This window comes from Homo sapiens, chromosome 1 (genome assembly GCF_000001405.40).
Source record: "Homo sapiens chromosome 1, GRCh38.p14 Primary Assembly".
Taxonomy (NCBI): Eukaryota; Metazoa; Chordata; class Mammalia; order Primates; family Hominidae; genus Homo; species Homo sapiens.
The window spans coordinates 102,997,222-103,022,151 of record NC_000001.11 but is presented as its reverse complement, the minus strand read 5'-3'; the positions used below and the strand labels follow the sequence as shown (position 1 = coordinate 103,022,151).

Sequence of the window (24,930 nt, the reverse complement as noted above, 5' to 3'; positions counted from 1 at the left end):
GGGTGCTTTGGTTCACGCCTGTAATCCTAGCACTTTGGGAGGCAGAGGCGGGCGGATTACCTGAGCTCAGGCATTCTAAACCAGCTTGGGCAACACGGCGAAAACCGATCTCTACTAAAAATACAAAAAAAAAAAAAATTAGCTAGGTGTGGTGGCGGGCGCCTGTAGTCTCAGCTACTCGGGAGGCTGAGGCAGGAGAATGGCGTGAACCCGGCAGGCGAGCTTGCAGTGAGCGGAGATCGAGCCACTGCACTCTAACCTGGGCAACAGAGGGAGACTCCGTCTTCAAAAAAGAAAGAAAGAAAAAAAAAAAGAAGAAAAGAAAGAAAGAAAGAAATGGTCTTACAGACATTTAGGCTGTTTTGAATATTTCATTCAACAGATAAATGGCCATGGTGCATATGGAGAGAAAGGACAGAAAGGAGAACCAGCAGTGGTTGAGCCTGTAAGTAGTAGTGTGAATACACTTTAAAGGTTGGTAAAATTGCTTATGAGCCACGATTATGTTAAATTATTATGTATGTTCGTGTTTTACCAATGATAATCTTGATGTCCAGATGTTTGCAATTCACCACAAATAAGTAAGTTAATAAGGTCTTGTCTAGAAAGGAGAATTTCAATAAAACAAAACATTATAGAGCTGCAGAAATTCAGAATTTGAAAGTAGCTGAAATTTGTCTTGTCTAATTCTCTCATTTTAAAACTAAAGAACCAGAGATCTAAAGGACTTAAGTAATTTTCCTGAGGTATCAAATGTTTGATCAATGAGATATAATAGGACTTTTAGCTTTCCTACTTTCCAATCCAATGATATTTTTCTCTAATCTCTATGACTTCACATTATTTGAAATATATAACATATATTTGTTACATATCCAAATTGTGTCATATGATATTTTTTACTTCCTTTTCATCTACAGAAGAATCTCTAATTCACTCCAAATTAATCTTTTAAAATTTATATCAATATTATTACTAATAATATTGCTAAGAAACAGATTCTTACTTGGAAGCGGTTTTGCCATTGTTTCCTGCTAATAAACAATTCAGAAAAACTAATGTATTAGAACTGAAGGTAGAACAACACGAAAATCATTTCAGAAATTGTAAGGACATAAAAATTTCAAAAAAAAACAGAGAAAGAAAAATGATAAAGAATAAAAAGATAGTTGTAGATATGCAGCGTTATTTCTGAGGGCTCTGTTCTGTTCCATTGACAGAACAGAGCCCTCAGAAATAACGCTGCATATCTACAACTATCTGACCTTTGACAAACCTGACAAAAACAAGCAATGGGGAAAGGATTCCCTATTTAATAAATGGTGCTGGGAAAACTGGCTAGCCATATATAGAAAGCTGAAACTGGATCCCTTCCTTACACCTTATACAAAAATCAATTCAAGATGGATTAAAGACTTAAACGTTAGACCTAAAACCATAAAAACCCTAGAAGAAAACCTAGGCATTACCATTCAGGACATAGGCATGGGCAAGGACTTCATGTCTAAAACACCAAAAGCAATGGCAACAAAAGACAAAATTGACAAATGGGATCTAATTAAACTAAAGAGCTTCTGCACAGCAAAAGAAACTACCATCAGAGTGAACAGGCAACCTACAAAATGGGAGAAAATTTTCGCAACCTACTCATCTGACAAAGGGCTAATATCCAGAATCTACAATGAACTCAAACAAATTTACAAGAAAAAAACAAACAACCCCATCAAAAAGTGGGCGAAGGACATGAACAGACACTTCTCAAAAGAAGACATCTATGCAGCCAAAAAACACATGAAAAAATGCTCATCATCACTGGCCATCAGAGAAATGCAAATCAAAACCACAATGAGATACCATCTCACACCAGTTAGAATGGCAATCATTAAAAAGTCAGGAAACAACAGGTGCTGGAGAGGATGTGGAGAAATAGGAACACTTTTACACTGTTGGTGGGACTGTAAACTATTTCAACCATTGTGGAAGTCAGTGTGGCAATTCCTCAGGGATCTAAAACTAGAAATACCATTTGACCCACCCATCCCATTACTGAGTATATACCCAAAGGACTATAAATCATGCTGCTATAAAGATACATGCACATGTATGTTTATTGCGGCATTATTCACAATAGCAAAGACTTGGAACCAACCCAAATGTCCAACAAGGATAGACTGGATTAAGAAAATGTGGCACATATACACCATGGAATACTATGCAGCCATAAAAAATGATGAGTTCATGTCCTTTGTAGGGACATGGATGAAATTGGAAACCATCATTCTCGGTAAACTATCACAAGAACAAAAAACCAAACACTGCGTATTCTCACTCATAGGTGGGAATTGAACAATGAGATCACATGGACACAGGAAGGGGAACATCACACTCTGGGGACTGTTGTGGGGTGGGGGGAGGGGGGAGGGATAGCATTGGGAGATATACCTAATGCTAGATGACGAGTTAGTGGATGCAGCACACCAACATGGCACATGTATACATATGTAACTAACCTGCACATTGTGCACATGTACCCTAAAACTTAAAGTATAATAATAAAAAAAAGGAATAAAAAGAGACAATTTTAAGGACCTTGTTGGCCATCTACTCATTACTCCAAAATCATGCAACATGCTCACAAAAAGTGTTGAAAATATTTTTTTCAGAATGAATCAGTCCTTATTATAAAAAGTTTTAACCCCCTTTTTAAATGACATTATAGCTTTTCAGCAGTCCAAAGATGGAGTGGAATCATAAATGTTTTAGAACTGAGTTCTTATTCTGAATAGCTCTTTATTCCTTTGCTTATAAAGAGCTTATATCATATTTATTCATTTTCCTTTTGCCTGGATTTTTCTGTAATTTCCCTGAATTAAAGTGCTTATTTTCCATTCTTTCATTTACACAGCAAATATTTACTAAGTTTCTGTTTTATGCCAGGTATTATTCTGTGGGCTACAAACAAACGAAAAACAAAAAATAAAAAACCTTGGTAGATTGTTTTGTCTGTACTCTTCCTGGGAGCACTTAGCATATTCTCCTTTGTAATATTATTCATCTAAATATTCATTTCCACTCCACTTAATTCACACATTCTCTGAGGGCACAGTCTATATCTTCTATAATTTTGAATTTCTTTCCTTCCCTGTGCAAAAACATTTGTAATTAATTTAAGTGGTATGAATAGATAATTCACTATTTAATATGCAATGATATAGTGTTCTCTTATATTCATGTAATTAAGAGGTTGGGGGTTATATTTCCCTGGTAGAGATGTTCTCTTTTCCTGTTATAGGGTATGCTTGTCGAAGGACCACCAGGACCAGCAGGACCTGCAGTATGTAAATGTTTTAAGATTATTTTTGTCTATTTAAAGTAATCATATATAAGATTTCTATTAATTACTGAATGAGAACATTTTAGACTAATTAGAATATTGAATTATAGAGAAAAACATTTGTTCAGAGGAGCTGGTGCCTTTGAACTGCCTTCTGATTTGTCTATCCAAGTAATACTCTTTAAATTTTGTTTTAAATATTTTTGTGGCTTAGATACCTCTGCATCTTCTAAACTCATTTTCGTCTTTCTACTGAAATATATGAAAGTAAAGAAAAGTCATCCTTATTTTCATTGCAGAGGTATAATTGTATCTTAACAAATGGAATCTCAACTTCTAGGTAGACTGCAGCTGCCTTATCTATACCTCTGTGTGGAGTAATTATCAGATTCCATTGTGGTATCCTGATAAGGCTGATGTTACTCAGTGTGTTTATTCTCAGGTGATTGCACTGATAAGACCTTGTAATAAATCCTCTGTCTTTTGTGGAATTAATTAAACTCTTGTCGTCTAAAATAATATATGATACTGATGCATTTAAATATGTTTACCCATAAAAGGAAACATAATTGCCTCTAACCTAAATGATTTCTACATGTTCAACTTGGCTATCAAATTTTTGAGATCTAATTTTATGAGTGTTCCATTTCTTCAGTTAGAACTGGGACCAAATATGACCTTAGAGACTTTACATTGGCATATTCTTCTTTCCTGTTTTTCCTTGAAATGTTTGCCTCCACCCTGAGAGCAGCTGAACTAGCTACAAATTGGTTTCTATATGTTGTCTTTTCACAGGAAGATAAATAGGGCAACTGTTTAGAACTCTAGTGTATATTTATAAAATATAAACGAACTCTTCGATAGGACTAGAGTGAATTCATCTAAATATTAATGAGATTAGGAATCTGATTAAGATATGGTGTGTTTCTCTATAGGGTATTATGGGTCCTCCAGGTCTACAAGGCCCCACTGGACCCCCTGGTGACCCTGGCGATAGGGTAAGTGAATGGACATGATATCTCATTACAAATGCATGTCATACAGACTTAAATAATTAAAATGTATTCTACAAGTATAACATGTTATCTTACTGCGTGTGGGAGGGGTAAAGGCAGCATGAATTCAGTGCTGCACAACATTTTAGTTAACATTTTAAATATTATTTTGAAGTGAGGAAAACAATGTGCATTTATCTATGGCATAATTAGTAAGAAAACTTTTATTTCACCCAACATCCATATTGATATGAACTCATTACATTAGGGATTCTGGTCTTCAAATTTGAATTCCAGTCATATTTTCCAGATATTTCCATTTATATTTATTTGGATGCTGACAGAATAAGTTAATAAATCTAAATTCTACTTTGAGGATCAAACCCTGGGTTACATGCTGAAATATCTCATTTGTGTTAAGTCTCTCCAAACTCTTCTCATAAAATAACCTTCCCTTTTTTCCCCACATCCTTGAGTAGCCAATAACTTTGTACTTTCTTTCTTTTGTTCTTTAGAGGATCAGAGATGCAAATAACTTATACTTTTCATATAATTACAATTTAAATAATGTAAAAACTTTTTAATTTAAATTTAATGAAGGAAGATTTTTAACTATTTCAGAAATTCTGGACTGAGTAACAGCTATTTAAGGTCAGAGGACATAAGAAGTGTATTATGCAAACATTATGAAACTTTTTATTTAAAATAAAGTTCATAAAGTTAGTTCTTACATGCTCTGCTTACTTAATTTGATATGTCCAGTTTCTTGGAGACATTTATGTGTAATAGTCATTTTAGTTAATATTTTTAAATCCCACCATATTTTCATAAGACCTTTTTATATTCTGTAATTTACTCACCTTAAACTCTATATCAGGTGAGAAATTCATCTCTTTACACTGTGCCTTATAAATAGAGACATATAAATGATCTAAAAATGTAGGAAATATTTTAGTAATAGGAAATTATACCATTCAAGCTAGATTTGTTAGGATTTTAAAAAATTATTTCTTTATAGAAGCCATTATTTGAACTTACTTTAACAGTTCCTTGAAACTTGTACAGAATCTATTGAAATAATATTCTAAATAAAATATAATTTTGCCAATCTAGAATCAATGTTAACACTTTCCTAGGAGTTAACTTTTTATGAGAAATTCACATTTGAAAAGTGCTGCTGCATTTTTTTATATATTGGTTGGGCGCTTTGAGTTATAGCATTTTGTATCTAGTTATTTATTAATTTTTGAATTTACTTGCTTCCCTGACAAGTATGACATGGCTATGTAGAAATGTCTCCTTATATTGAAAGCTTATGGACATATACCTTATATCTATGAGTCACATACTTATCAACAGATGTATATATTACATATTTAATATTTTCTATATTCATATCCATATCTTGGATTTCTGGACAGCATAGTCACACCTAAACTTCTAAATGTACATGTATGTATGCATGCACACATACATACACTGAGTATATTTAATCAGTAAACATTTAAAATAAATTAGTGATTATGATTAACATTAACATGCTAAAATTAGTCATTATCTATGTTAAAAAGTATCTCTCTTGAAGATAGTATCTATTGTCTATTAAAATATAGTATGTAGTTAAGTATTCTACAAAATAAATACTATTTATGTATCTGTTAAAGAATACTAAAATATACCTTAAACCTAGTAATTTTTAAATAAAACTTTCATTATTTACTTAAATCTGTTTTTATCTAACTGTAAGAACCAGGCTTGTACTACTTGTTTTTCTCACATTACTTTCCCTTAAAATATATGTGAACTCTTCATCTTACACAGTTTTAGGCTGTGAACAAAGTTTGAGCAAAATTTATAGCTTAATTGGATTATATATTAATAACCGAACATTATTAAAATCATCTAAAACTAGTGCAACAGAATAGAATTCTGTCTAGGTATACTTACTAAAAACAGACTAAATAAGGTGGAAAGGGCAAATGCAAATTAGATAAAGTAGACTTACGTTATAAGTTATTCTAGTTCTAGTAAATATTATTTTGATATTTATTTATTTTGGTTATTTCATTTATTTTTCTAGGGCCCCCCAGGACGTCCTGGCTTACCAGGGGCTGATGGTCTACCTGGTCCTCCTGGTACTATGTTGATGTTACCGGTATGTTCTTTTTTATGTTATAGAGATGACTTGATATCTTGTCATCTTTTTTCTGAAGTTTATTGTTGAACCATATTGAAGAGCAATCAACTAAAAACCATTGTACAAGGTAGAAATACTTGAAATTAAGCAGCATTTGGAAATTCAGGGAAATTTTACAAAACAAAATTATGGTATCAATCTCTGCATTAAAACTAAGAATTCATTATTTGATTACACTCTTAGCAACAGAGTTTTTGACAATATTTCCAATTGTGGTTTATCCTGAGTCACAGTATTAACATGTTTTTCATATGTTATTTAACATAACATTAATATACTATTTACCATCTATTATCTATATAGTCATAAATAGTATTTATTTGTAGTGTTATTATTCATTGCTCAAAAATTATTTGCTTTACTGTAAGATTCCTTTGTAAAGTTTTTGTTGCCCTGGTGTTTTGGGAAAAAAATGCATATTTTATTTATCAATTTCAATGTAATGAACAAAGTTTCAAGAAATAATTACTTAGAATGAAAAATTGACTCCTACTGCATTTTGAGTTAAAATGGAGCAAATTTTATAGAGGAATATTACAGAAGATCTGTTTTATAACATAAGTACTTAAGAATGGGTGAACAAAATAAATAAATCACAAGGAAAATTTCCTGTGTATTAATGGATATTCCAAAAATTTTGACAAACAAAATAGAGATTGAGCTGTAACTGTCACTGAACTTGGTATATTTGGAATTTTATACAAATGAATCAATAAAATGGGTAACATTTGTGCTTAAAAAAAAGTCACAATGGTTTATTCCAGAGGTATAGAAATTATAGCATTTAAAATTGAAACAGAGTTTCTAGTTTCTTCTTCTACAAATGGTAACCTGTAGTGTAAAGAACTTCCAGAAGAAATGGAAAGAGCAAAAACAATACAAACTAGATCTCATGATTCATTACGGAGTTACTTTGTAATTTTGTAAAATCCCACCATTTTAATAAGTGGTTTTTATCTAATGATCAAAGCACGTAATTCAACATGTTTGACAAAGCTAATTTTGAATTTCTTAATGTTATCTCTTCCAAGTTCCGTTATGGTGGTGATGGTTCCAAAGGACCAACCATCTCTGCTCAGGAAGCTCAGGCTCAAGCTATTCTTCAGCAGGCTCGGGTAAGACAGGATAAACTTGCATTCCCACAAGATGACTGACTCTGTATCAAGTATATATGTGTGTACATACGGAAGATGCTACCATTATTAATAGAATATTTACTTCCGAATACTGTGTTAAACTTACTTGGAAAACTGCTAAAATTTTATTTGTTTTTCTAGTAGTAATGTTTATTAATTGAAAATTATAGTTAGGTAGTTGACCAATGCAATGTTGCCATTATATAATTCTAGCAGTTTCCCACCATAACACGCAAGATTTCTATTTTTTTTTCCCAAGAGTATTGATATATTTACACCTAGTGCACCTTATCTTTCACATCCAGTTTTACTCTGCTAACTTATAAGTCAATGATTGGTTATAATTAAGAGAATAAAATTTGAAATACATTTGTTCTTAATTTTCTGGATTATTTAACATATCATGGATAACACAGAAAATTAAATTTTTTGGGCATCATATATAAAAAAGAAACCTTCAAATTTCTTACCAACCCTAATCTTTATAATCTGTAGTATTTTTAAAATTTCAATTTATGTTTTTTAGTTTAAAGCTTCCACTACTTGTAGACTTATAAAATATAGAATTACATTTATGTTTTTTAATTAGTTTCATTGAAATTAGAATATACACAAGAAAATCAAAAGGATAGACCAGGAAGGAAATGGAATTCATATAACATTTTTATTCATAGTATTGGTTTTCTTTTTAAGGAAGAAGGAAATAAAGGATTTTTGTTTGGTATGGATATGGTTACCCACTTTCTAACCAATATAAATCACTTCTGTGATAAAATTTTTATGCATCATGATGAATTTATGCAGCATGTGTAAAAATATCTGAAAACATGAGTAAAAATTGTAATTCATCCTCAATATTTGTTTATGTCTTTCCTAAGTCTATTAATCTGAAAATATATCATTATTTGATTGTATCATGTTTAAAGATAATGAAAAATTAAAATATTTGTTTATTAGATTTTGGCATAATGCAAATCTAAAATTATTTAAAATAATTTACTAAAGATTTCTATAACTTATTTTATAAAATATATTCTTTTGAACGATTTTAAGGTAATTATTTGAACTTAAATATTTTATGAGGTCATTGAATTCCTCACTTTATTAGTCCTCTTAACCTACTTGAAAAATAGGTAGCAAGCATTATAATTCAATTTTTCAGATATTTAATCTCAAGGATTAAGAAGTATATTGTCAAAAATCTCATGGTGAGTCAGTAGTGATTTTGGAGATCCTACTGTTTTCATCTCGTGCACTTTTCTAATATGATTTTGCATTTATTTCTGTTGTATTATTTTTGATATCTTTGTGATAAATCTAAGTGTTCATCTGTTGAGCTCTCTAATATTCAAAAGTAGCACACAATACTAATTTAACATCTATCAAATTTTTATCTTTTGTACTGTATGTGTTTCAGCTTTTCAAGTATGCTAATTTCACATTTCTAATATTCAGTGTAACAATAGTGCATGTAATCAGTTTATTATGCGTATGATTATACAAAATAAAACATTCTTCTCTATAGCATTATATCTGAGATTTGTTAAAAGGCACATATTATCATAACACTTCCTGACCAGTTTTGTTTTATGGTGTCTGGCTTTGGTTATCATAATTTTTCCTAAAATATTGCTAAAAGAATTTTATTTAAAGCCTCTCAAATTGTGCCTACACATTTAAGAGAAAAAGGCTATGCATTATTCTTGAGTAAATTCAGAATAGTAAATTATCAGATATTAGTTGTTCTAAAATCTAGTTTAACTTTTATTTTTGATTAAGTCATAGCAATATATATTACAAGATTTTATATGTTAAAAAGTTTTTAAAATGTCTGATATTTACCTCTTTTGTCATTCTAGAAATTTGCAGTTCTTCAGTAACCTGACACTCTTTCTAGCATGTAGTTATTAAATCTGTGTTGATCATGTATTACTTAAGGGCAGCTTGTGCAGATTCATATTGTACTTTAATGTGCTCTTCCAGGAGAATATTACTGAATTTGATATATTTTGTTTTCTAGATTGCTCTGAGAGGCCCACCTGGCCCAATGGGTCTAACTGGAAGACCAGGTCCTGTGGTAGGTTACCCCAACAAAGATAATATATGTTAAAATTTTCAAATTAGCAGTTCCCTGTGCAACTTCTTCCAGGGATTGTGCATATCTATGGTTGGTGACAATAGGGTATGTTTTCATGCTTGCTGTTGTTTCCATTAAAAAAATCCTTCTCAATTCAGTTTTCTGTACATTTTGATCAAAAGGTCTCAGTAAAAAATTTTAAATTGAATAAATAAAATTAAAAATGTAATTGAGTCATATCCAACTATTAATTTCTTAAACTATAAGTATCATTCATTTGCCTAATATTCAGCTTCCAAAATTATGTTTTACATTAAATCCTTGAGCCTTAATTTTATATTAAACAAAATGTTTGTTAAAAAAGAAAAATTTATTTGAGGCCAATGAAAATTATGACACAATCTTAGGGCAAGCAAGATACTTTTTAAACCGCAGGTTGCCTCAGTATTCCACAAGGTGCTTCAACTATTAGAGAGAGTATTTTCTCTTGTAGAAATTCTTGGAAATAACAAAGTATTATTTTTTTCTCACTAGCGTGATAGCAAGCTAAGATATTTCAAATATTTTTGTCTAAAAAATCTTCAAATACACTAGAATATACTAATGTTAAGTGGTGTAGCAGTTCACAGGATTCAAACCAGGATTCTCATTAATTTTAGAATAGATGGATAAATAATTTATATTTTAAATATTTGTTTTTTGTATAAATTTTTTCTGCTATTTACAGAACGTATTATTCTGAAAGTTAAAATCTTATCTGTATTGTACATAGTAGACACTTGCAGCAAAACTATTGTATTCAAATTTAAATCAAGTACTTTGCCTTCTAATTATTTAGTCTGTTTTACTGATTATATTAGGATAATAGTTTTTCTTCATGTATTTTATCGAAGATTTTATTATGTAGATTTCCTTATATTTATATTTACCATAATTTAGTCATAAAATTTTATATATATTTTGCAGGAATATACATTCAATCATATAAGCTCACGGGGAACACATATTCTGATACTATGTTTCATAGAATTTAAATTATATAATTTAACACATTATTAAATGTTTATCATGTATTTTATCATGCTTTGCCTTTCCAAAATACAGTAATATGGCAGATTCTATATCACTTAACCAATGAAATAGAGTTAATTTTTAATTATTTGTTAATGACTCAAATTTACATAACAGGAAAGTAAGTAGTATGTTAGTGTATTATGAAATTTGGGGTCAGAAGAATTAACCTAGGTATTTTATTAAAAATAAAACTTTCTGGGACTCTGAACTTAAGACTGTAATGTTGTAGATTCAGGATTGGAACCAGCGACTGTAATTTTAATACGTGCACCAGGTTGATTCCTATGGCCAAAGATATTTGAGAAACAGTGCCATATTTGATTTAATTTACAAATATCAGGCTGGGCGCGGTGGCTCGCACCTGTAATCCCAGCACTTTGGGAGGCCAAGGCGGGCGGATCACCTAAGGTTGGGAGTTCGAGACCAGCCTGACCAACATGGAGAAACCCCGTTTCTACTAAAAATAGAAAATTCGCCGGGTGTGGTGGCACATGCCTGTAATCCCAGCTACTCGGGAGGCTGAGGCAGGAGAATGGCTTGAACCCGGGATGTGGAGGTTGCTGTGAGCTGAGATTGTGCCACTGCACTCCAGCCTTGGCGACAGAGCTAGACTCCGTCTCAAAAAAAAAAAAAAATTTACAAATATCAGTCCTAGGATATCTAAAACTCTATTATTCAAATAAATTTCATTTATTATCTTGAAAAACACAAGGAAATGGATTCATAGAGGCTAACGGCAGCAATGAGCAGAAACAAGGGAGGCACATTATATTAGCAGTTCTTATTTTCATTAAACAACCATTAAGAGCCAGCCAATTTTCCAGAGACTGTTGGCAAAGAGAAAATATTGACACCCATAAACACATTCTCAAAGTCATAGGCAAAATTAATTAATTTTATCTACTTATCACTTTGATATGAAAGTTTTAGCTTCCTTAATTATTGAAGGTAGGTATTGAGAGAAAAAAATCATATTGTTTCTTTTTACCATTTCAAAACATGCAAATTTGATGTTTGCATCAAAACATTAAATTATTAGTCTTCCAAATATCTCTTAATTCTATAGTCTAAAAAAGTATTCACTAGATTAAGATTTAGAAAAGAAAGTCTACATCGATATTTTGACATCTGTACATTTTTCCTATGAAAATTATTTTAACCAATTGTTTACATCTAGTTATCTTTATAGACAAATGGAGGACTGTATCATAAAACATTCAGGAAGTGTAGAAAATCTGTTTTTTCCCTATTATTTTATAGTCAATGACTGTGTGACATTTTTTAGAATAAATGTTGGAGCAAAAGAATTATAATCTGTTGAGTAGGTAGTGCTTATATACAGAGAATGTAATACAGTCGATTAATTAAAAATAGTCCATTCTATAATTGCATAATTGCATTCAATTCAGTGATTAATAATCTGATTTAATGTAGAACCCCAGTTTTTTTCTTGCAGAAGTTTATTTGCAATAATTCTTCATTGGAAGCTTGAAAGTCATTATTCTCTTAATTTTAAAGATTAGAAAATTCATGTTACTTGACTTTTTGTATTTTGTGGGCATCGTTAATATTTCTTTTACTTTGGAGTCACCAGGAGACTATAAATTGCTACCATTTTTCAGATTTAGCATAATTTAAATCTCTGTCATACTTTATACGATGTAGTATTTAATGGAATGTGTATGGATTTAAATAAATTAGAATCTTTTAGAACACACAGTATTTCAGCATGAAGTAACTATAATCACCATGTTTATTTTTAATGTTCTGAAAGTTTTTGGGGATATGTGTTGCCTAGTGTTTAATTTTAAACCTCACAACTTGTTTATAAAGCAATTTTATGTTTTGTTTATTTATTTTAGTACACATGCCAGGTTGTTGTTACACCTTTTACATTTTAGTTATTTTTATTTATTTATTTTTTGAGATGGAGTTTTGCTCTTGGCACCTAGGCTGGAATGCAGTGGTGCTATCTTGGCTCTCTGCAAGCTCTGCCTGTCCGTTTCAAGCAATTCTTCTGTCTCAGCCTCCTGAGTAGCTGGGATTACAGGCACCCGATGCCATGCCCAGCCAATTTTTGTATTTTTAGTAGAGACGGAGTTTCACTATATTGGCCAGTCTGGTCTCGAACTCCTGACCTCAGGTGATCTACCTGCCTTGGCCTCCCAAAGTGCTGGGATTACAGGCGTGAGCCACCATGCCTGGTCACCTTCTTAATTATGTAAATGTATTTAAGAGATGTTTGTTATACAGACTTATTCTCATGGGAAAAAACAAACCAACCTGGGAAAAATGTGTTAACACTATTTCACGGCAATTATAATAGTATCAATAACACCAGGTTCTTGCCATTTTATTATCATACAATTCAGAGTCTAAAAAAATCTGAATATAAAAGCAGTAACATTTTGTCAAGTCCTTACAGTATAAATGGATTACATGTATATCTGATTTGGTAATAATGGGTTACTCTACTACTACATCACAGTGTAGTCATAAATAATGCTTTGTGTGTCATCATATGAGTTCTGATAGTGCACACACAAAAGACAATTTCAATGTGATTTCATGAGGTTAGCTTCTGTGTAGTGCTACATAAAATATAGACCTTTATTGCTCACAAATTGGAATGTAATCAACATTGAGAAGAGATATATTTCAATGCAAGTGCTGGAAAATTTTACTGTGTTAATTAATAAGTTAATGCTAATATGATTAAATATATTTTGAATAATGTTTAATTATTTCAGGTGCAATTGGCAGGATAAAAGTAGTTAGGAAATTGCTAAATTAAGTGAAATATCTTCACTTTTTCTCTATAGGGGGGGCCTGGTTCATCTGGGGCCAAAGGTGAGAGTGGTGATCCAGGTCCTCAGGTAAAAAATAAAAATTTGACTTTTTATTCTTGACTGGCTTCTTTGATACAGCATAATTCCTTCGAGAATGCATCAATAGTTAATTTTTTTTTTGTTCCTGAGTAGTATTCCATTGATGTATGAGGGTTTATTTTGAAATTAAAAAATTCAGAGAAAACTGATTACGATATTTGGGTGATTCAAGATATAGTAGCCTTCTTTTTTATGTTGGGTTAACTTTGCCATTAAAAGGATGGAAAATGCAGCTTAACTGGGAATCGTGTAAAAATACTGATATTAGACTATATGAAAATGTAGAGAGTTTATTTTTTCCCAAAGTTTGTGAACTTTTTGCTCAACACTTTCTTTTTATAAAATAGATGAAGCTGAAAACATATTGCAGTAATTGTTTTGGATTTTAGTTTTCCTTGACTCCTTTAATCCAAAAAGAGAAATGTGTTATCAAAGGAAGGATTATTTTCATTTAAAAACTAAAAAAAAATTTGTACTGTTATTGTTGGCCCATGCCTTCAGACTGGAGTTCAGAGTACAGTCTTCTCATTACAAAGCTACATACTCTTTAACCTGTAGACAATCTTTTTTTTTTTTTTTTTTTTGAGACAGAGTCTCACTCTGCTCTGTTGCCCAGGCTGGAGTGTGCAGTGGCATAATCTTGGCTCACTGCAACCTCTGCCTCCTGGGTTCAAAGGATCCTCCTACTTTAGCCTCCCAAGTAGCTGGGACTACAGGCATGCGCCACCATGCCCGGCAAATTTTTTTGCATTTTTTCTAGAGTTGGGGTTTCACCATGTTGCCCAGTCTGGTCTCAAACTCCTGAGCTCAAGCAATCTGCCCTCCTGGGCCTCCGAAAGTGCTAGGATTATAGGAATGATTCACCGCGCTGGGTCTTTAGACAGTCTTAATTTTATATTTCTAGAATGAACATTTCACAGTGATTATAAAAATTATTTATATTTTCAAATTTGGGTTTCATTTTTTTCTACCATGTTTATTATATGCATATTGTTTCAATTAACTTTAAATAGTATATGTAGTTAGTTAAATATGAAGGCCTATGTAATATTTATAGTGAAACTACATTTGACCTATTATTAGCTGTACACTTTTATTTTAAAATATGTATATCGATCCCCACGAAAAGTATATATTGACACATTATGGTGTACTGCTACTGAAGAAAAAGATAATGAGAATTTTAAACCTTTAATCTGACATAGTATGGTGCCAGTCAATAATTTGCTTCAGGGATTGGCAAATTGTCCTCCAAAATTTTGTAGCTAATTAAAAGAGATGTGTACCAGGCACTGTGCTAAATTTTAGGAGTATAGTGGGGAAAAATAGGTTAAAGACTTTAGCAGTTCACAATCTAAATGGGAGATTCAAACATGAGAAAAGACCATTACAATCCAACATTATAAGCGCAATGAAAGGAGAAATATCTAGTAAAGAACATCCAACAAATGAGAGAAAGTGAAAGAAAGGGGATTGGAAAGAGAAGAGAAATGGAATGGATAGTTAAGAGTGTGTTCCATCAAGGGAAATGTAAAACCCCAAGGTTTGGGGAATAAAATGTGTAATTATTTCTTTTATTTAAATGTAACCTCATGTCTACATATATAATTAATAAGTGATAAGGGCCGGGCGCGGTGGCTCACGCCTGTAATCCCAGCATTTTGGGAGGCCGAGATGGGTGGATCACAAGGTCAGGAGACCGAGACCATGCTGGTGAAACCCCATCTCTACTAAAAATACAAAAAATTAGCCGGGCATAGTGGCGGGCGCCTGTAGTCCCAGCTACTTGGGAGGCTGAGGCAGGAGAATGGTGTGAACCTGGGAGGCAGAGCTTGCAGTGAGCCGAGATCGCGCCGCTGGGCTCCAGCCTAGGCGACAGAGCTAGACTCCGTCTCAAAAAAAAAAAAAAAAAAAAAAAAAAAAATGGAGCCATTTAGAAAAAATAGGTATTTATTTGATATGAACCTTTTGTCTTCTGCTTTATCTGAACTTTTACATGGAAATAATTTTCTTGTGTTTGAATGATTAAGGTAACGCTAAGAGGATATTAGTTTCTGAAACCATCTCTCTTGATGCTATTGAGTTTATTGATCAAGAATTCTATAATATGGTTTAATTATGATGTCTTGATATAGGGCCCTCGAGGCGTCCAGGGTCCCCCTGGTCCAACGGGAAAACCTGGAAAAAGGGTATGGCTTATTTTCATTGTGCATTTTGAAGGCATCTGCCATGATCATTAGTTTTATTTATTTATTTATTTATTTATTTATTTTACTTCCTTGCTAGTAATAAAAGTCACTTCGCTTAATCATGCTGTTGGCATTATTAGGGTCGTCCAGGTGCAGATGGAGGAAGAGGAATGCCAGGAGAACCTGGGGCAAAGGTCAGGAGCTCACATATTTTTATATTCACATCCTGTGTCAGTTCACTCTGGAAAATTTTATATTTAAAAATCCATTTTCTGAATCTGAGAGAATATTTCGCATTTAAATTGCAGTACATATCTAGACTGGAATTGTGATGATGATGATGATGATGATGATGATGATGGTTTTACAGGGAGATCGAGGGTTTGATGGACTTCCGGGTCTGCCAGGTGACAAAGGTCACAGGGTAAGATACATCTATTCCTTTTTTTCCAGGGAATGTTATAAAATATTTTAGAATTGATAACAATTTGCAAAATCAGAAAAAGAAGAAAAATTAATTTTAACGTTTGTGAATCCACTTAATAATCTAATAGATACTAGAAGGAAAATAGGTAAAATTACACATGTGGTATCAGTGTAAGTTCTTTGAATATTTTTAGACATTATAATATTCCTTTTATGCAAACATAAATTGAATCAGAATCTTTATATACATTTACCTGGAAAATATCACATAAACAGAAGAGCAATGTGGACATTTAATTTTACCTCTAATTTTTTAATAATTCCTTCAACCTTTTCATTGCTTTTTGCCTGTGGACATATACTCAAAAGAAGACATCTGTAGGTGGTTTGTCATTAATACAGTAATATACTAGGCACTATATTATTTTTTGGTGATGGTAAAAACTTTCAGTACAAGGCAAGAACTTGTAATTTGTGAAGGCTAAAGAAACCATGATTCTGAACAGTATTCCAGTAGATAATTTTAGTAGGAAACTATGCAGACAATCTCTCAGAAAAAGATCAGCTTTAGATCTTCACATCTTTCTTTAACAGCATTAATAATGAGAATAAGATAAGCTTTAAGTAAATTGGAGAAGAAAAAAATAGTAAAAGGAAAGAAAACCCTATGAATGTCTGACAGAACATATAGTATGTGTCTAACATGTTAAGATCAAGACATAATTGTATCCATTTAAAAAATACCAGATTTCTTTAGTCACCTGAGTTATGCTGATTTAATATAAATTACTTAGAAGTAGAAAATATTTAAGTCAAAATCACCAAAATATATCCATATTTAATACAATCATCAGCAAAATAAGTTTCTGAACAATTTAGCTTAAAATAATTAAATGTCTGAAAACGATTTAAGATACTTATTTTACATAACTCTTTTGTATTGAAAATTGAGAGAAAATATTATAATTATAAAATATTATTAGCATACTAACATGTAAAGCCAGTTAAAGTTGTTAAATTATGATTTATCTGCAAAATTTTTTGAGGAGGGTAAATAAAGCATATATTTTCCCTGCCAAATGTCCTGTTTTATTTGGTTTGGATAGCTACCTGATAGACTTGTAAACATTCTACTTCTTTCCATATGCTAATCTTATTTGTATTGATTTAACAGGGTGAACGAGGTCCTCAAGGTCCTCCAGGTCCTCCTGGTGATGATGGAATGAGGGTATGTTAATACTTCTTTTCTTAAGAAATATTTAAAATTAAAACATAATAAAACAAAATCATGTTGAAATGATACATTGTCCAAATGTTCTATACTCTCATTCATTTTGTCAATGACAGGGAGAAGATGGAGAAATTGGACCAAGAGGTCTTCCAGGTGAAGCTGTAAGCAACTTACTTTTTATTTTTAAGTAATATTTCTAGTTTTTAGGACTAGTGACTGGTGTTACACATATAAAAACAATGATAAACCCAGGTAAACATTGCAGTCTTAGCTAAGCTAACCAGATAATTGCCATGCGAAAAAAATTAAAAAGGATATATAGAGCTCCTTTTGTTACAGAGAAAATCTTAGACAATTGAGGGAAAAATCTGTGGAATGTAACATTTCCAGCCAAAAAAGTTACCTTACCTAGTTTTTGTTGCTGTTTCTTTGTTTTGTTTTTTGTGCTGTCATCAATAGCTCCGAAATTTATGTACTGAGAAGAAATGAATCCTATTACCAGAAGAAAAAAAATAATATGTCACTTGGAATATACCAGACATATGGAATATATCACTTTTCTCCACCAAATATTACAAATGAGGAAACTGATCTGGGAAGGTTTACTTGAAGCTAGCTAACAAAATAACTAAACTGGAAATAGGCCTCCTAATTTTGGTTTTAAATTGCTGCATTCTACCTTGCGCCACATTTTAGATCCTTGTCAAGTAAGTTCAAGCAAATGGGAGAGAAATTAGATTATTTTATTGGCTTTTCTAAAGAAGGAAAAGAAGGTGAGCAGGTGCAGGAGGGGGAAAAAGAAGAGAAGGAGAAATCAAGTGTGAATAATAATAATTTAAGAAACCTCGAAAAATGGTTTCTGTAATCTGCATATATAGTTACACAGATGATCGTTTTCTTTCCTCAGTGAATGCTGTCTTAAGATGAAATTTACCTAAATGTACAATAAATGAGAATCAAGACTCTTCTATTTATGTAGTATATCTGATTGAATAATAATGTTCGATGCTGTCACTGAAATCAAAAAATGACACAAAAGTGTCTTATAGAAAATATTAAACTGTTTCCTATTTTAAAAATTCCCCAAGTGATTCATATGTAATATTATAGAATCAAAGAAACACAGTTTCTGTACTAAAAACTGTTATTTATTCTGGCTTTTGGATCAGTATAAACACTAGATATTTATGTTATGGACATCACTTTCAGTGTGTTAATAAAAGATGTCCAAATATTTTTATTCTAAAAATAACCTTAGGATTTCTTCATTGAAAGAGGCATGTTATTAGGACATTTTTTTTTTTTAATAAAGGCGTGCTTTTTCTTTTTCTCCTAGGGCCCACGAGGTTTGCTGGGTCCAAGGGGAACTCCAGGAGCTCCAGGGCAGCCTGTATGTATTGCTGGAAACATTGAAGATTTTCTAGGGAAAGCTTGTTGCCAACCTTTTAGAGGCCATAAAAGCCCTCAGTAGAGAGCCAAGAGTTTATTGCCTTGTTATGTTTGAAGATCTATTGTTGCTGCCTTTCACTTTAACTCATCATTCCCTCCTTTTCTTCTATCTTCCTTTTGATTATCTATCTTAGTGTTTTCATGATACATCCCCAGCATGCAGAGGAAAATGTTGCTAGATTGTCTCCAATGTGGACATGGAAAAGAAAGTATAGGTCTTGTCTCTTCTTCGTTTCCATTAAATCCTAAAATGATTTTTAGTTGCTTAGGGTAGTGAATATCATGATATTAGATTAGTCTTTTTGATTTTCTGTTTTAGCATCAAAACATATAAACAACCATAAATACTTTTTCTTCATTGCAGGGTATGGCAGGTGTAGATGGCCCCCCAGGACCAAAAGGGAACATGGTATGTAGCAAATAGTGATAAAATAACTCATATTTGAATATAAGCCCTAAGAAACCATTTTTTGTTGTTAAATCTAAAATATAATGATTTATTACATTTTGCTAAGTATATTAGATACAGCTTGCATTAATATTTTGAAATATTTTCCAGAATCTCATGAGGGAAAACTGTTTGAGGGTGGGTAGAGGTATTTTCCAATTGAGAAGAACAAAAATCTATTGTGTAATATAGCCCATTAAAAACTTTTTATATTTTCCTCTGGCAGGGTCCCCAAGGGGAGCCTGGGCCTCCAGGTCAACAAGGGAATCCAGGACCTCAGGTAAGTCTAAGCCACTGCAGCTCCTTTGAAATAATGGGGGGAAGATGCTATCTTTCTATAAGAAAATCGACAGTCTCACAATTTTCTATGTAGTCCTAGCAATATTTAAAATGTGAATGTAGGAAAATACATACTTTTCTTTTTTTAAAAAAATTTGAGCAAACTTGCAGAAGCCCCTCTCTTCCCAGGGAAAAATGACTCATTCAATGTTTAGGGAATGCCAGGACTAATAGCCACCTGCAGGAGGGTTCTGAATAGGATCGCATTATAGTCCCTTTGCAAAAAAGAGCAGCTTGTGTAAAACTCCTCATCGTGTTCTAAAATTCCTTGGGGTGTATGGGAATATATACAGATTCTTATAACTCACTGTGTACTATAGTGAGCTAATAATTTGCTGTTTTAAAAGCATATTACTGTGATTTGATATCTGATATATGAAATAAATTCTTTTAAAATAGGGTCTTCCTGGTCCACAAGGTCCAATTGGTCCTCCTGGTGAAAAAGTAAGTTACTCTGTTGTTCTCGTAAAGCCTGGTGAACATGTTTGTTTTAGCAATCTTAGGCAGGTATAAGGTCTGCCTTCTGTTTTTGTTAAGATATCTAGATAGCTCAGCACATAAGGAATTAATCTGGAGTCGACATGGAAATATAGTGTGGGGAGATTTCATTCATGTGTTCTTAAACTGAGAATGATAAAACTTCAGTTACCATTTAAACAGCTTCCAAATGTGGCATTCTCAGCTATGTTAATTTCAGGAACATAACGGTATGAGTGAATATTTTCTCTTTATTTTAGGTCTCCTTTTCTTTCTCATTATTTTACAAAAAAGTAATTAAGTTTGCTTGTGACAAAAGATTTGTAGGAAGACATGATGAAAGGAAAGTTGTGAAGTTGTCATTGCCATTATATCTCATATATGAATAGCAAATGATGTTCTTGTTAATAACTCAATGTCTGGATCAAAACAAGAATAAATCTATAATTAAACACATGTCTTTTTCCCTGATCTCCACTGTGAGATTCCTTGAGTAATATTTTGTCCCCTGTAGTCATAGCACATTTCTATCTGGCTCTTTCCAACACCTTTTTTCTTTCATTATTTTTGTTGATTTCTACAAACATATTAATTAAAAAAAACTAATAGCTTTATCGAAGTGTAATTTAAATACTATAAATATTCCCTTGTTTTAAGTGTACAAGTGAATTATTTTTACTAAATTTACAGATGTGCTGCAATCTAAGTTTCGGAATACTTATACCACTCCAGAAATAATCCTCGTGTTAATATTCAGTCCATGTTTCCACCCCCTCAGACCTAGCTAACAATTAATTTGCTTTCTGTCTCTGTAGATTTGAGTTTTCTGAATATTTCATGTGAATGAAACTTATGAATAAATTTATGATTTAATCATATGAATGTGTATGTGACCTTTATGTCTGACTTCTTTCATTTTAGGTTCATCCATGCTGTAGCATACATATATTAGTACTTTGCTCCTTATTTTGTTCTCATAGTATTCCATTGATTGGGTATACCAGGTTCTGTTTACTTTTACTTGGCAGTTGATAGAATAGGTGTAGTTTATACTTTTTCGCTATTCTCCATACCGGTGCTGTAGTGAATAATTGCATACAAGTCTTTGTATAGATGTGTTTTCATTCTTTTTGGTATATACTTAGAAGCAGAATTCTTGTGTTATGGTAAACTTATATTCAATATTTTGTGAATTCCACTCTTTTCCATATCGATTGTACCATTTTCCCTTCCAAGTAACCATGTATGAGGATAGTCATTTCTGCACATTCTCACTAATGCTTGTTATTGTCTGTCTTCTTGATTACGATCATTCTCGTTGGTGTGAAATGTTATCTCATTGTGGTTGTAATTTGCATTTTCCTAATCACTACTTTTGTTGAACATCTTTTCACATGCTTATTGGCCATTTCTATAACTTCTTTGATAAAATAGCTGTTAAACTCTTTTGGTTAATATTCTAATTGGATTATTTATCTTAATATTGAGTTGTAAGAGCAGACATATCAGATTTAAGTGGTTTTGAAAGTACTTTTTTCTGTGGATGTTTTAGACATAGCTGCACAGCACTATTGGAAAATGTCCTATTAGTTATGTTAGGTTCTAAAGGTTATTTTTAATATTTAGATCAGGGAGTTTAATCTGGGTCACTCATATTTTAGATTAGTGCATTAAAAATATACTATATTTATTTTGTATTGCACTTGACACATGCACCTATTAAATTTTCTACCATGATTTTATCATGTATGTACTAGATTATTAAGAGGAATTTGCTCTTAGGAAAAGTTGTTATATCTGAATTACCTGTGCCAAGCCAGATAAAATGTATAATCTAGTTTACTGCATTTCCGGTGGTAAGAAGAGAGCTGTTTTATGTAATACTGCTTCTGCCTCTGATCTGAATATATCCAGCCTGTAGGTTCAAAATCAATCTCTTACCATCAAAAGGAGAAAGGTACTCAAAAATATGAGGAAAACACTTTTTAATGATAATGTATTTACAATATAAATGTTGTATTACATCTATATTAAAAAAGTAGAAGCTATTACTTTTGTTTTTAATGATAACTATGATTTATTTATTCTGGCTCAAGAGCCTTCGCTTCGAAAATTTGGTAAATAGTAATGTTTAATTGTATCATGGTATAATTTAACATTTTAATACAATTTAACTAATGTCATATGTTTTTACAATCCAAGAGCAATTTTTTGTACTAACTTATCATAGCCTGTGCTTTTATTTTTGGTAAAAATATTTCATAAAATTTAAGTTAATTAACTAAAATAGATAATATATTATATTTTTCTGACATTTTTGATAAATATACCAAATACATCCTATGATAAATTGTGATATCTCCTAAATATTTCCTGTGATTTAATTTCCGAGTTCACTCATATATTAATTGCTTAGTAGCAATTGATGTTACATAACTCTCTGAGTCCAGTATAAAATAACAAGACACAAAATAAATATTAGTTAAAGGGAGGAACTTTGAAGACGTGGATAGGAACCTAAGTTCATCCAGATTGCAACGCTGCCACATTTGGTTAAAAAATCTTCACTTTTCAATTTAAAGGTTACTTTTAATTCATTTTTGTTCTATGCTGATTTGGTTGAAATTTTCTTGTAAAACTGCAATGGCAGGCAATATGAATACAATGATTGTACTTTACTCCCTGAGAATGGAAAAAGCCCAAAAATATGTCCAGCATTTAGGCTTGCTGATATGTCCTTGACCTTCTCATTGATTCTGAATCCTGGACAATAACTTGATGTGTCAATAACGATGACCTGGGCTCTGGGAACTTGATAAATTTAATATTCTTAGAAGAATGTCTACTTTTCTCCCAAGAAAAGGTCTGATTCTTGTAGTAGTGATTCTTACCATGTTCCAAATTTAGAAATGGTCATGTTCAATGTGATTTGAAACTCTGTGTGGTTAAACAGGGATTAATCTGTTGAATTATTACTTTATTATTATCTTATTGGGTACCTATTAGGATATGTTCTTTTTACATTAAAATCGATTTACTTTCCTTCATTTCCTATGAATAACTATCATACCATAACATTGCACAAAATATTTTAATAATGGTGTTTCATCAATGTTACTATGTAATTTTTTGAATTAGTACTTACTAATATTATTGAGGGAAATAATACAATCTTTACCTCTTTAATGATATGAATCAATATATTTCTGGCCTATATTGCTTTCCTTTTTGTTCTCTAAGCTTCAGTTTATTGTGGTATTCAAAAACTAATTTGCTAATTTAAAAAAAGACCTATCTAAGATTATAAGCAGGCTAAAACCTAGCATACCTTTGACATGTTAAATTTAGTTTTAATTTATCTTTACATGGCATTTCCTCCAAATAATATATTTAAAAGTTATTTAAATGGTTATTACTTATGAATTGAAGCCAGTGACTCAGGATAAGAATTTCATTCATAGTATATGTACACGTTAAAGCTTTTTAAAATTATTTTTATCTTTTTAATATTTTTTTTTTCTCTATAAGGGACCACAAGGAAAACCAGGACTTGCTGGACTTCCTGGTGCTGATGGGCCTCCTGTAAGTAACAGCTACCTGGTCATTAAAATTTCTTTACATTATCTTTAAAAATAGATTTTACATGTGTTTTAGAAATGATTATATGAGGTTAGTAATAAAAATAAATTGAGCCAGTAATTAAACATTGATCTCTCTAAAATACCTTTCATCATATCACTTCCATATTGCAAAATCTTTAATGAGCTCACGGTGGCTTTTGTGGAAACTCATTTGGCACTCCAAGCCAGAACCTCCCCAGAATCTCATATTTTTTTTCATTTCCTCCTTAACCATTAGCTCCAGGTAAGCAGGTCCACTCACATATTCTTGCATGATCTAAATTTTCTATCACCTTACCTTTCCCAAGCTGTTTCCTCTCCTAGAAAGCCCTTCCATCTTCTCCTCCTTTTCAAAGTATCTGTTTCTATGAGTCCAGGTGAAGTTCCTCACCATTCATAAATTTTCTCAGACATCTTTCATGAAAATATCTCAGCCTTCACAGATTTCTTTCTTTTCTAGAAATATAGTAATATTTATTATTTCCCTTTAAATAGTAATAAACAATGAAATTATGTAATCTCTACAGTTATTATATTAAAACATTTGTTATTTACAGATTTTTTTCCTCTTTAAACTACATATGCAGATTTTGTAGTACTAGGATATAAGATTTCTCATCCTACCTTTCCTTGTTATTGGGTATAATTGTGATATGGCTATACATTTTTATTTACTGAATCTCAATAAGTTGATTATTAACACTGTTAGCATTTATGATCTCGCTGTATTTTCAGATGTCTCATCCACATGTCTTAGTGCCCCTTTGAAGGTGCATGTATGATCATTTGATTAATTTGCTAAATATAAGGCAGATTTAAATACCTTTATGTAAGGCTTTAATTGAGGCTGGGGTTGAATTGTTAATGAATGATATGTATTATTTTATGTGCTTTTTCTAAGCTCTCTCAAATGCATTATGTATTTGAAGAAACTTACATCCATCAAATATAAGCTTGTCATGTTTACTTCCAAATGCCATAGTTTCCAATTTATTTAAAGCCATACACACTGATGCAAAAGTGTTCAATGTTTTTGAAACTTAAAGAGTA

At 31.8% G+C, this 24,930-nt stretch overlaps 1 protein-coding gene across 10 annotated transcripts in view; it reads left to right on the top strand.

The window, feature by feature from the left end:
- Nucleotides 1–24,930, top strand: part of COL11A1 (collagen type XI alpha 1 chain) — a 232,050-nt gene that overhangs the window by 86,371 nt on the left and 120,749 nt on the right. For 9 of the 10 annotated variants that reach the window (NR_134980.2, XR_007085257.1, NM_001190709.2 and 6 more), the window contains 17 exons: nucleotides 383–445; nucleotides 3,293–3,334; nucleotides 4,270–4,332; nucleotides 6,410–6,484; nucleotides 7,558–7,641; nucleotides 9,683–9,739; nucleotides 13,636–13,689; nucleotides 15,837–15,890; nucleotides 16,031–16,084; nucleotides 16,261–16,314; nucleotides 17,491–17,544; nucleotides 17,664–17,708; nucleotides 18,884–18,937; nucleotides 19,361–19,405; nucleotides 19,671–19,724; nucleotides 20,183–20,227; nucleotides 23,789–23,842. Coding sequence is in view for 8 of the 10 variants with exons in the window: in NM_001190709.2 (NP_001177638.1) it covers nucleotides 383–445; nucleotides 3,293–3,334; nucleotides 4,270–4,332; nucleotides 6,410–6,484; nucleotides 7,558–7,641; nucleotides 9,683–9,739; nucleotides 13,636–13,689; nucleotides 15,837–15,890; nucleotides 16,031–16,084; nucleotides 16,261–16,314; nucleotides 17,491–17,544; nucleotides 17,664–17,708; nucleotides 18,884–18,937; nucleotides 19,361–19,405; nucleotides 19,671–19,724; nucleotides 20,183–20,227; nucleotides 23,789–23,842 (951 nt within the window). In the remaining 2 variants the exon portion in view is untranslated. Of the gene's footprint in view, nucleotides 1–382; nucleotides 446–3,292; nucleotides 3,335–4,269; nucleotides 4,333–6,409; nucleotides 6,485–7,557; nucleotides 7,642–8,824; nucleotides 8,871–9,682; nucleotides 9,740–13,635; nucleotides 13,690–15,836; nucleotides 15,891–16,030; nucleotides 16,085–16,260; nucleotides 16,315–17,490; nucleotides 17,545–17,663; nucleotides 17,709–18,883; nucleotides 18,938–19,360; nucleotides 19,406–19,670; nucleotides 19,725–20,182; nucleotides 20,228–23,788; nucleotides 23,843–24,930 lie in introns of those variants that run through there. The other variant, XM_017000337.2, reaches the window with a different exon arrangement.